Source organism: Homo sapiens, chromosome 10 (assembly GCF_000001405.40).
Source record: "Homo sapiens chromosome 10, GRCh38.p14 Primary Assembly".
In the NCBI taxonomy this organism is placed as follows: domain Eukaryota; kingdom Metazoa; phylum Chordata; class Mammalia; order Primates; family Hominidae; genus Homo; species Homo sapiens.
The window spans coordinates 570396-583657 of record NC_000010.11 but is presented as its reverse complement, the minus strand read 5'-3'; the positions used below and the strand labels follow the sequence as shown (position 1 = coordinate 583657).

At 44.4% G+C, this 13262-nt stretch overlaps 1 protein-coding gene across 5 annotated transcripts in view, besides 2 other annotated features; it reads left to right on the top strand.

The window, feature by feature from the left end:
- Positions 1 to 13262, top strand: part of DIP2C (disco interacting protein 2 homolog C) — a 415468-nt gene that overhangs the window by 106011 nt on the left and 296195 nt on the right. The gene's annotated exons all lie outside the window — the stretch shown is intronic.
- Positions 11368 to 12225: an enhancer, noted in NCBI's record as "H3K4me1 hESC enhancer chr10:617373-618230 (GRCh37/hg19 assembly coordinates)". NCBI's record gives its function as "activates a minimal SCP1, AML or CMV promoter by ChIP-STARR-seq in primed H9 embryonic stem cells {active_cell/tissue: H9 hESC(primed)}" and the evidence as "EXISTENCE:reporter gene assay evidence [ECO:0000049][PMID:30033119]".
- Positions 12226 to 13085: an enhancer, noted in NCBI's record as "H3K4me1 hESC enhancer chr10:616513-617372 (GRCh37/hg19 assembly coordinates)". NCBI's record gives its function as "activates a minimal SCP1, AML or CMV promoter by ChIP-STARR-seq in primed H9 embryonic stem cells {active_cell/tissue: H9 hESC(primed)}" and the evidence as "EXISTENCE:reporter gene assay evidence [ECO:0000049][PMID:30033119]".

Sequence of the window (13262 nt, the reverse complement as noted above, 5' to 3'; positions counted from 1 at the left end):
TGGCGTGCACAGATCGGTTTCAGCACAGTCTCGGGAGCAGCCCCGGGCAGTGCAGAAAGCGAGGCCCAGGTGAGGCTGTGGGACACAAGAGGGCCCTGACCTGTGTGCTTTCAGCCTCTGAGCCGCCCCTCTCCTGACTGCTTACAAAGTTATATCGATACTGAAATCTGAACATTGAAAGTTCACTAGGAGAATGCCATTTCCAGGGATGTTACTGTGAACCTTCCGTAAAGGACCTTATGTAGGATAATGAATTGCCTTTTAATGCAGGTACCAAACAGGCTCCCTGGGATAATTCATTCCATATAAACTTTTTAAAAAAATGTTCCCAACTAGCTATCCTATAATTCTCTTTCTGCTAAGAGAGGTGCTCCGTTCTCCTTTGCGCTTTAGTGATATGCCGTGTTTGCTTTGCATGCCCCTTGGCTTTTCAGAAGAAAACTGCGTTTGCAGATGCACTTGGAGTACAACGTTCTTTTTCCTATGAGTGTATTTATGGTGAAGGCTCCATTGGAGGAGATATGCTCATGCATTTCTCTGTGTGTTGTGGGGGATAAAAGTAGTCACTGATTCTTGCAAACCTAGAAGATGCCCAAAAGGTAATACATGTGAAAATATGTGGCAACTGCCATAAATCGCCATGTATTATGTGTGGCAAAGTGCTGTGTGTTTTGTTTATGGAGAAAATTAGTCTTCCCCATTTTCCCAAGAGGTAACACTTGAATATACATCAGAAATTTTATTTGAAAATGGTACCTTCCTTCTATTGTTTTGAGACTATATCATAGGAACTTAGGTATATAATTTTCTCAATTAGAACCTCCAGGTTTTGTCATAGCCCCTTTGTGTCATTACAGTGTCTGATTCCACTATATTTAAACCAGGAAGAGGCCGGCCACGTGGCCACGCTGGTGCTTCCCAAGCACAGGGTCTCACAAGGGCGTGAACACTTGGTTTGGAGACACGCTTTTCTTCCTGATAGAAACGCTATCACACCATTCTCTAGTCTTCTGCGGTGTTTCCTCCACCTAAACGCATCCAGTTTCTGTTGGTTTTTAGTTTATTTATATTTTCTGAGACAGGGTCTTGCTCTGTCACCCAGGCTGGCATGCAGTGGTGTGATCCCAGCTCACTGCAGCCTGGACCTCCCTGGCTCAGGCGATCCTCCCACCTCAGTCCCCCAAGTAGCTGGGACCTCAGGCGCGCACCAGCATGCCTGGCTAACTTTCTTTTCTTTGTTGCAGGGATGGGGTCTTGTTATGTTGCCCCGGTGTGACTCTGTTTTATGTTAAGTGTACGGTGGGTTTTTACGGAGAACCTCTGTATTTGGGTTGGGTGCATGGCATCCTGGTCAGGGAGCTGCCCTCAGGCTTCCTTTCTGCCCAGCAGGGTCACGAGTGGTGTCTCCACCTGGGCTGGTGTGGGTGCTGGCCGGTAGGGCTTAGCCCTGGGCTGCAGACTGGTGCCAGTCCACGGTCTGTTAGGAACCGGGTTTTTGTAGCAGGGGGTGGGTGGCCGGTGAGTGAGCATGACTGCCTGAGCTCCGCCTCCTCTTGGATCAGTGGCAGCATTAGATTCTCATAGACACTGGAATCCTATTGTAAACTGTGTTCTCATAGACGTTGGAACCCTATTGTAAACTGTGCGTGAGGGATCTCGGAGGTGCTCCTTATGAGGATCCAATGCCTGACCTGAGGTGGAACGGTTTCATTCCAAAACCACCCCCCAGAAAAATTGTCGTCCACGTAAACCCATCGCTGGTGCCAAAAAGGCTGGGGACAGCTGGCCTAACATGTGCTAAGATGTCAGTAGATTTTTGGACTCGGACCTCAGTTGGAGAGGATTAGATTTTGAAAGGTGGGGGATTGAAGGCTTCTCAAGGACAAGTTTTCATCTCCAGTAGGGCCTGGGCAGAACCGGGTAGAACTGACCCAGAACCTGACAACCAGCCAGCCCCGGCTCACTGCCTGCATCCTGTGTGTGCAGCCTTGCTGTTTGATTCTCTCGTGGTGGTGGGTTCCATCCATGGCCTCAGAGGGTAATGGAACCCATTACTTCAAGGCTGACCTTATTTAACTTTACCAAAAATACATTAAAATCATTTAGTATAAATCTTCCAGATACTTGTATCTTTTCTTTTTCTAGAGGCTTTTAAGTATTGCAACTTAAAAATCTTCAAATATAACTTTAAAAAAAACCTCTAAGTACATTTTTGATTAGCACCTTTGACAGCTTAACATGTTAAGTAAATTCCCTTGACTTTTGTATTCCTAGAAACTCATATTTGCAGAAGACTGCCTGTATTTTGTCAACAGTGGCCACTGTTTGACCATCATACTTGCCATCTCTCATTTAGAAAGTTGGGTGTGGATGTATTAACTTTTTAGACATACAAACACATGGGCTGTTTTTGTTGTTTTTTCCCCAGCTGAATTCAAGAAAGGGAAACAAGTAGACTAGAGTAAGTATCAGAAAGCGTCTAAGTGGCCAGGTGGGGGATGTCCACTTTGTGGTGGGGAATCCTACTTTGGTGTTGGATTGCATTCTGCCAGACATCGCTCCTAGAAAAGCTGACCCTGAAGGGCTTGGTGTTGCCCTCACCCTGGGACATTGGTCTCTCTCACCAGAAAATGAATAATCTGCCAGAATACTGTGAGTCAAATTGTCAGAACTCGATTAAATAAGAGGCTTTGTCTCAAACGCCAAAACATGAGGACACACTTCTAATTTTTTAAGGAGTGCTTCATCGTGAGTCAGTCCTGACGTGTACTATGTTAGGAAACCTCTGAACTCCACAGTCAAGCCAGAGCTCTGACAGAAAGTGGTTGCGCCCTTCTCACTGTGTTTTTGTCACTAGCTTTATTCATGAAAATTATTTCCTTAAAACCCTCTTTGTATGACTTCTATTACAGTTTGGAAAAAAAAATTATGTGGAACTGGAAGCCTTTCTGCAGCGTTAATATTCATGGCCTGTTCTGGGTCTCGGTATATGTGTACTATACAAATGTGTACTTGTATGTGGTGTATGCGTACTATGTATTGCCATTGTACATGTATTTACAATGTATAGGTATGTACACTACATGTGTCCTACATGTGTGCATGCTATGGGCATGCATGTACATGTGTACATATGTGCATAACTATGGGCACTATTATATCCACACTATTTGGACATGTATCTGTACTGCATATGTGTACATACATGCATGTATTTAACGCCATATATGTACCTGTGTACATACACCATATGGGTATTTGCACATTTGTGTACTTATATATATACATGTGTGCACACTGTAAGCATGCATGTACACTACGCACACTGAATAAACTTGTGGATATGTGCACACTAATGTACGCATGCTGCATATGTACATACACTATGTACTGCATATGTACATACTTTACACATGTATATGTTAGTGTACTGACATATATACATTATATATATGTGCATATGTATACACTACGCATGTGTAGGCATGCTGTAGTGCACTGTACATCGGATATGTGTACACTATATGCATGTATATAGATGTTATACCTATGTACATACAAATGTGCATGTGTATGCTATATGCATGTACATACAGGTTATAGTATACCTGTGTACACTGGATAGAGATGCGTGTACATGCTATTCATGTACATACATGTTATAGTGTACCTGTATATGTACATTGGCTATGGCTGTGCTTTATTCATGTACATACATGTTATAGTGTACCTATATGTACATTGTATGCATATAGATTGTGTGCTAGATGCATGTACATGTGTTATAGTGTACATATGCATGTACACTGTACAGATGTGTGTACATGCTATGCATGTACACATTATAGTGTACCTATGTACATATGCTATATGGATATGGATGTGTATGCTCTGCATGTACATACATTATAGTGTACCTATGTATGCTGTATTGATATGGATGTGTGTACACTATGTGTACATACATGTTATACTGCACTTACGTACATACACTATGGATCTGGATGTTTGCTCTATGCATGTACATGTTACAGTGCACATGTTTGTACACTATTTGGATGTGTATGCTCTATGCATGTACGCATGTGTTATAGTGTACCTATGTATGTACACTTTATGGATCTGGATGTGTGTATGCTCTCTGCATGTACACACATAGTGCACTTATGTTTGTACACTGGATCTGTATGTGTGTACGCTCTATGCATGTACACATGTGTTATAGTGTACCTATGTACATACGCTATATGGATCTGGATGTGTGTACACTGTACACACATAGTGAACTTGTTTGTACACTACATTTGGGTGTGTGTACACTATGCATGTACACACGTATTATAGTGTACCTATGTGTGTACACTACATGAATCTGGATGTGTGTATGCTGTATGCATGTACACATGTTAGTGTACCTATGTACGTACACTAAATGGATCTGGATGTGTGTATGCTCTATGCATGTACATGTTATAGTGCACTTAGGTTTGTACACTGTATCTGGGTGTATGCTCTACGCATGTACACATGTTAGTGTACCTATGTACCTACACTACATGGATCTGCATGTGTGTATGCTCTATGCACATACACATGTTGTGCACTTATGTTTGTACACTGGGTCTGGATGTATGTACGCTCTACCACATACACGTTATAGTGTACCTACATATGTACACTACATGGATCTGGATGTGTGAATGCTCTATGCACGTACACATGTTACAGTGTGCCTATGTGCACACACTGTGGATCTGGATGTGTGTATGCTCTATGCACGTACATGTGTGTTAGTGTACCTATGTACGTACACTATATGGATCTGGATGTGTGTGCTCTCTATGCATGCACACATGTTATAGTGCACTTATGCTTGTACACTATATGTAGTTGGATGTGTGTACACTATGCATGTACACATGTTACACTGTACCTATGTACATATAGTATGTGGATCTAGATGTGTGTGTGCTCTATGGCAACAGGAATAGGGCCCCTGCAGGGATCCCGGAACACACCATCTCGTTAGCACCGGAGAGTATAGGATGAAAACAGTTGTTCATTACAAGCTAGTGAAATTTGGCAGGTTAGTAGATGCTTTGCAATGATTTAGGAACCAATCACTTCCTTGATGTGTGTGTTCCTGACATCATAAACAGCTCTGTGAGGTGTGTTTCATCCCCAGATGAGAGAAACGAAACAACAGGGACTTGGTGATTTCAGTGAGGTAGAACTAATATAGCAGCTGTCTAGCTTTCCATATCACAACTTTGTCAGCCCTCAGCTCAATAAATGAGAAGTCGCCACTCATCAGGAAACGTGTTCATTTTCTACTGTTCTTTATTCGTGGAGTATTTACTGCCTTGTGTTCTTCATGATGTAGCAAAATCCCTCCTAGTGTTGTGAATATAAACAGTTCATGACAAATGCAGTATCTTCTTTGTTAACGTTGAAAATGATATGTAAGTTCATCTTCAGGTACTGTTTGGAAGGATGAGAAAGAAGATATTTAGGATAAAAGAAGAATAGAGAGCTTTCGAGTAAACAGGGAAAATAAGGACTTTGTGCAAAACATTTCCAAATGTGGAATTTGAGAATAATCTCAAATCTAAGATTGTAGTTATTTGGATTTTTAAAATTAGTACTTAGTTTTCCACACCTTTGGGAATTTCACCCTTGATGGAGGATTGCAAGAATAATCTGATTTTTCAGAACAGAAGGACAGTCTGTCTCAAAGGTAAATTCCAGGTTCTACCATGGAGAAATAGAAATTGCTCCCAACTTTCCAAAAGGTTCTTAAGTTCTTTCTTCTTTTGTGGTTAAAAAAAAAAAAACACAAAAAAACAAAAGAAACAAAACAAAACATCTCTGGGTTTAGTCTCAGCCAAGTTCCTCTTACTAGGTTGCCTTACATTTCTCCCAGGTGTTCAGAGTCTTCATCATTACTAGTTATTTAGCTTGTTAAAAGCAAAACCTTGTATTAGTTAGATCTGAGCACCTTGAAGGCAGGGCTTTGTTTTATACTTTAAATAAGCAGCAGGCTGATGGCAGGGCTGGGGCCCTTCATCCCATCATGCGTTCCTCTGAGCATTCAGAGTTCTCACTGCGTGCTGAGTGTGGTGTTGGCTCTTGAAGGTTTAAATAGGAATACGAGGCTCTGCGACTCGCGAAGCTCTTACCACCTTCATAGAGAGCTTGGTGACGGCTTAGCATGAGAAAGTACACACAACAGGTGTGCAAACTGTTACGGCCACATAGAAAGGGTACTGACTTAAACGTGACTAATTTCTCATGCTTATTTTTGCCTTTATTTCTAGTTACAGTACCGATACTTCTTCTTCCTCTAAATTTTTGCTAATCGCTAGTGAATTAGTGATAAACTGTATTTACATGTTCTCTAAATCCAGTGACTTAACTGGAGGTCATTCTTCTTGTACCATGTGTCAGTGCTATGTCAGGATGGCTCAGTTTTACCTTGTCAAAGGATTAATTGCAGTAGGATGCAGCCATACTGGAACTTACTCATTTATGGAATATCTGCGCTTTATTTTTTGTTGTTAGTCACACTTGAGGTGTGTTCAAATGTAAACATGCTGAGCAGTGTTAGAAAGATATACAAGATTGTAACGAAGTAAGAAAAAACTGGATCAACTACCAGCTAATGAATTTTATATTTTAAGTAAATGGAATGTGGACCTTGGCAATTAGTTTTCATCTTGCCCTCTTATTTTTTTTTTTATTAGACAGAATCTTGCTCTGTCACCCAGGCTGGAAGGGTGGAGCACAACAGTACGATCTTGGTTCACTACAACCTCCTCCACCTCCCAGGTTCAAGAGATTCTTATGCTTCAGCTTCCCAAGTAGCTGGGGTTACAGGCGCGTGCCACCATGCCTGGCTAATTTTTTATTTTTAGTCGAGATGGGGTTTTGCCATGTTGGCCAGGCTGGTCTCCAACTCCTGATCTCAAGTGATCACCCACCTCACCTTCCTAAAGTGCTGGGATTATAGGTCTGAGCCACCATCCCTGGCCTGATCTTCTGTTTTAATATTGGTTATTCAGTCTCAATGATAGCACCTGGTTGTATTAAATTGGAGTAGAAAGCACAATTGAAATGAATGTGGTTGTGTATGTACATGCTAATTTAGCGCTCATGGCAGCACTGTGAGGTGGGCATTGTTTCTGAAGGAATGCCGGATGGGCAAGTCAGGGCTTAGATACGGGACTTGTGGGCAGTTACTGCTGTCCCATGGCTGAGACCAGGCCTGTCTGACTCCTGTACCCTGAACGCTTCTTAACATTGCCTTTCAACACACGTATGAGTAATTGTCAAGAGTCAGTGAGTGCTCGAGTGTGATGTGGTCTGTGGCGTTTGCCTCGCAGTGTTGCTTTGGCTTGGGATAACTGGGCGACAGCTCCCTTCCTTCTGCAGCTGCCTGGGAGTCCCAGGAGAACCCCACTGATACCATTTATAAATGCTGGACATGTGACATTCTGCTTGGTGCCAGCACATCTGGAATCCGACAGCGTAGTTAGATTCTTGGTCAGCAAACCCGTACAGGAGCGTGTGAACTCTGCATTTGCTTCTCCCGGACAAAGGTGAGTTCCTGGTCACTGTGCTGGATGGCAACAGGTGTGGCCTCAGGAGCAGGACAGAGACTGGCACCCACGTGCAGGAGTAGCATCTGCAAGGAGGTGGGGGATGTGACAGACACAAAACCACTGAAATCCTGAAAGTGCGAGCTCAGCTGTTACCATGGAGGAGAGGCGCAGGTAAGACCAGATTGTTTCTCATTGTTGCACGTTTCTGAAAATGACCCTAAATTGACTCTTCTTTGGCTCCTTGCGCTTCCTAGTTGGGTGGGAGGAAACTGTGCCCCTGGCTCTGGCCCTGCTTGCGGCGAGATGGAGGCTGCTGTAGCTTGCCCTGCCCTCCCTATGACTTCCTCTGTGCTGTTCTCCTCCAGGAACAGTTCTGCTGAGCAAGCTTGGACTCTGCTCCCTTCTGCTCTTGGATGTCATGTCTGGAAGGCTTGTGTTCTTTTCTGGGTTTTGATGATGCTGAGCTATGTTTTTGCAAGGATCACACGTGCCCATAGCAGGGAGAAGCCCCTTTGCGACTTCAACATCTTGACACTCTCAGCAGAGCTCGCTGTCGAAGTTGAGAGACTTTTGCGTTTGTTTTGGCAGAAGCTGAGTTTCAGTCCTAGGACGGCCTCAGCACACTTGATCCCAGCTCCTTTCTCTCACTGCTCCCCTCGTGTATGGCAGAAATCATATGCCCTGAAGTTTACCAGTCCCTTCATTTGAAAACTTCAGTTAATGTATATGATCCTCAAATGAGAATTTTACTTTTTATAAAAGCAATCACAAAGACTGGATTTTGCGATACCAGTGTTTTATGTGTAGATTAATTGTACTCACAATAAACTTTGTCTTCTAAGTATTAATAATTCCATGTTTCAGATTAGCATGGAATCATGCCCTGGAGTAGTTTTGCTTTTCCGCTGTTTTTGGCGAAGGTAAAGTTGAGAACGTTGTGATATTAGCTGTAGTGAGCCTTTAGTTCCTTCTGTCTATTTTCCTTGAAGCCAAGACCAGCAGACTGATTGATACCAGTTTGTGAGCGCCTGGCATCTCCTAGGCCTTTCGTGGGTCTTCCCTCTGCTGTCTCGTGGGCAGAGCAGTCACTCGTGGAAGGTGAACCTGAGAATCTGTGGAATTACATAAACTTCATAGCTCTCTTCTGTGACAAACCGAATCACATTAAACCCAGTAAATTGTAACAGCAGGCTTTGCACATACAAAGCATTGAACACCAGAACAGGAAACCGCGTTGCGATGCTTCTGGTCCTGCACAAGACCTCTAGTATCATAGCACATTGAAGATAGTGGCAGCATTGAGTGTTTGGAAATATTATGTACCATGGCCTTGATTTTCGAGGGCCTGGATAAACACCTCTGTGGTTATGGCAAACTTTATCAATGGGAGCTGAAGGTTAGTGCTGGGGCAGATTGTGTTTCAAAGAATCAGGGTCTCTTGAGTATGTTTCGGTTTTCCCATGAAGAAGAAAGATGTTACCTGTTCTTTCCTGGACTGTGGCTATCAGGGTGCCCCACCACGATCACTAATACATGTACCCTGTTTCCATTTAGCTGGGCTTGGGCCAGAGTCCTTCCGTTGTCACACGTCATATGAGGCTGTCTGCTGAGGAATTGTCTTCTGCTTCATCGTTAGCATGTTGAAATATTGCTTTCCAAAGCATATTCTACTTTATCATTTGTATTTATGTAAAATAATGGAATGGTTATTCTAACCGTGCAGTTTCCTATCCTTGGTTATTTAATTGCGGAAAGATAACAGTGGGTTTTATTTTGCTAAAATCTGCTAGGAATTGTGCAAAATCTTTGTGAAATGCCCAATTTCCTAGCTTAAGTTATAGATGTTTGTATATAAGAGAAAAAGCCTATTGCTAAAAGCAGCAATGTCTTTATCGATGCAAAAAGCTTTAAACTTACTGGCCGTGTAGTCAGTAAAATGCATCAGAACGTGGCAAAAATTGAGAAAAGCATTGAAGTTTTAAAATCTGCTATGCAGTTTTCTTCAACTCCCTTGCAAGATACTTAATTTGAGTAGAAGACAGAATAAAGTGTTCCCGTTGAGGAAAGTGACAGGGAGGACCGTTCAGAACGTGTTTGGAATCTGAGCAGTCCTGTCACGCTCTAGTCTGTGATGTGGTGGTGTGTCCATGGTACCACTTTATAGAACTTGAAGAATGCTGCTTCTGTGAATAAAATACATTTTATTCTTGGCATTTCATTTGTGAGTTTTGAGATGTGTAAAACGTGTTAATGGTTTCTTTCTCTTACACAATTACTTGTTCTTTTTTTTTAAGTACCTACAAGACTCTGAAGCACATAATCACTTAAAAAGAAAAGAGGAAAAAAAAAGCCGGCGTGATGGCTCATGCCTGTAATCCCAGCACTTTGGGAGGCCGAGGCGGGCGGATTGCTTGAGCCTGGGAGCTTGAGACCAGCCTGGGCAACCTGGTGAAACCCCATCTCTACTGAGAACACAAAAATTAGCTGGGTGTGAGGGTTGCACACCTGTAGTCCCAGCTACTCTAGAGGCTGAAGTAAGAGAATCGCTTGAGCCTGGGAGGCGGAGCTTGCAGTGAGTGGAGATGGCGCCCCTGCCGTCAAGCCTTGTTGACAGAGGGCGACCCTGTCCGAAAAACAGCAACGATAATAACATGTGGGTGAACTGCCCGGCTGCGCTCTGTGTAAACTAGAGTAGAATAAATCCAGTTATGTTTGTCTTTTATTAGCATTGAAATTTTCTTAATCATCCCTGTTTTTTCATTACATTGTAGCAATATATTGCTGCTTAGAGTCTGGAACAAGTAGGCTTCTCTTGATCATCAGGTTGTTACTGGATTGCTAAAACTTGGCATGATTTTCCCTTCCTTGGATGTGAGTTATAGAACTTTGCCTTTTGAGGTGACATGCTGCATTATGACAGCAGACACAGGAACTCCCAAATAATTCACTTACATGCTAAAATGTACGTGCTTTGTAGCATTTCCCTCCGAGAATGAAAATGGTACCTCTCATTCGTGGGTGGATGATGCTATTTGCTGAAAACATGTTTATTTACTGCCTCAGTCCGCAGTTGGGTAGCCCTGTCCTTTGTAGGATATTCAGGGAGCGGGGACATCTTGAGTCTTGAAAGTCTCTCTCTGCGAGATGGCAATCTTCCGGCTGCCTGTTTAGCGAGTCCCGCCGGCTGTCATTTACTGGAGAGTGCAGTTTCCTGGCTGCCCTGGTCTTTGAGGGGAGGGAGACTGAGGGGTCATTTTCTCACCTGCACCAACGTGTTTATTAAAGCTGGCTTGTGGATCATTTGGAGGAAAACCCGCATCTGTGACTTTCAGATGAATGGAAGTCATTTTAAAAAACTTTTTTTTGTCTATTATGGAGAAGTTTTGTCCTTGTGATCTGTGAATACAGTCACTGGAGAGCAGAATGTTGACCGTGTGAGTGCTTACAGTGTACATACAAAGTCACATCTTCACAAGTATTACATTAAAAAGTGACAAATAATAGAAAACTATTTTTCTCATTACAACCTCGGTAAGAAGCTGGCAGTACTCTTTTGTTTTTGGAGGGGTGTGATGGGAATATTGAGAGAGTGTCATCAACATTAGACTCACCCACTCTGCAAATCCTGTGCTGGCTGGAATGGGGACCCCGTGATGGAAAGATGCAACCCTCTGCCTGGACGGAGTTGAATTTTTGTGGCGCTCAGGATGCACAGTTAACTGCAATATAAAGGCAGAGTGTGAAACGCTGTGGAGGCTGAGAGAAGAGATGTGGTTAGCAAGTATGAGTGAGATGTTTGGGGCGTGTTAGCAAAGCTTGCTGCACACATGCCAGGTGCTGTCTGCACACGTGTGATCCTTAGAACACTGGCGTGTGGAGCCATGAGGCTGTCGAGGGCCCCAGCTCCCGGCAGGCTGAGGGAGTCTCCTGTTACCACTAGGATAACCGTGATCGAAGGCTGTCACTCAATCCCGAGAAGGGTCTCCTTTCAGAGAGGAAAACACCCCTAGAGCCTCGGGCAGAATTCAGTGATTTTTTATTATAATGTTGCTTAGATTTCGCAAACATGAAACCAAGAACATATTTCGGAATGCTTATGGTTCTTTTGTAACCATGGATACAAAATAATTCGCAGTTGATGGACAGTTTTTGGAAGCTGAACTGCTTACATTATGAGCACGGTGCTCTCCCTACTGCCCTGGGCCTTGCTCTGGTTTGCTGGGGAAGCTTTGCAGGGCCTCTTGGCTGGGATACCTCTCCCATGTCCCATGTTGCTACCCCTGGTCACAGCCATACTGCTGGGCACCAGCGCCGTGAGGACACTGAGTGGACACGGAGCCCACGGGGCAGCAGCTGGTCATGAGGTGGCATCCAGATGGTCCAAAACACGTTTCTGTTCATTAAGAATAATCATTGCAATAAAAACAGAGTGAAAGAAAACCCTCTACTGACCTGACTGAGAATGTGTCAGCTGAGTTGGATGGGGAAGTGCAGTGAGGAAGGTGAGGGCTGAAAGGAGATGAGGGAGGGAGAGGAAAGGAAAGAAGGGAAGTGAAAGGGGGAGGGAGAATGGGAGTGAAGGAGGGGGGATGCAGGAGGAGAGGAAGAGAGAGGGCAGTGGGCAGGAGCCTGGGAAATGAGCCCCGGAGCCGGTTCCCGACCCTCGCGGGTGCGTCACAGCTGATTTTCCAGGAGAGGCGGCCTGGCAGGGCTGACCCTTAGGAAGTGTGATGGCCGGGGGGAGCTGATTGGCCCTCAGTGGGGCTGTTGCTGACCTGAGATGTGGTCGACGTTATCCCGAAGAGGTCGTCCGCACAGCCACTGTTTGCTGTCAGGTTGGAGAGAGAAGTGCTTCTCCCTGTGGGTTCTTTCTGTTTTGTGGATTTTTCCCGGTTTAGCTGAGCGGCCTGTCATTGGAAATGTCAGGGATTCCTCACATGTCTCCATTCTACAGAGCAGTCGGCCAGCTTCAGATCCTGTAATTGTGGGGGCACCACTCTCGTGTCGTTAGGCCAGTGCCGGTCCAGCGTGGAAGCCGCAGCCCAGGGCGCTGGGAAGCCTGCGGGGCTCTTGCTGCCGGGGCTCCGGTGGGAGTCGTGCGCTGGAAGAATAACGTCTGTTGAGCAGAGCCTGGCGAGGAGGGGGATGCTGCTGTTGCAGCAGTACATGGAATTTCAAATGATGAATGAAACACGCTTTTAATTATTACCAGAGCTCCATGCTCTGCGTTTCTTCAAATGGAAATGTTGTGCTGAAATGAATTTGCTGTTAATCGGTTGCCTCATGCAAGGTAGTGTGCTGGGAGCAAAGTAGGTTGTGGACTTATCTACAAAGCTTCCTCCTCTCAACAGACTTTAATCAGTTGGATGGTGCTACACAGGAATACGTGAGAATTTGTGTGAGAAAGGCGATAGGTGCAGACCTGTGTGACTGGCAGGTCGGGTGGTAGGGGAGGTTTGAGAGAAGCTTTTGGCTGAAGTAGTGTTGGGTGCAGGTACTGAAGTGTGATGTCTGGCTGGATGGAAGAGCGCAGGCCTCTGGGCTGCGGGAAACTGGTAAAGGAGGAGGTGGAGAGATGTGGGTCATGTCTTAGGAATGGTAGCAATTCATGCAGACCCAGGATCAGTCTCCCACAGGGGAGGAGTGGACGTCAGGACCTAG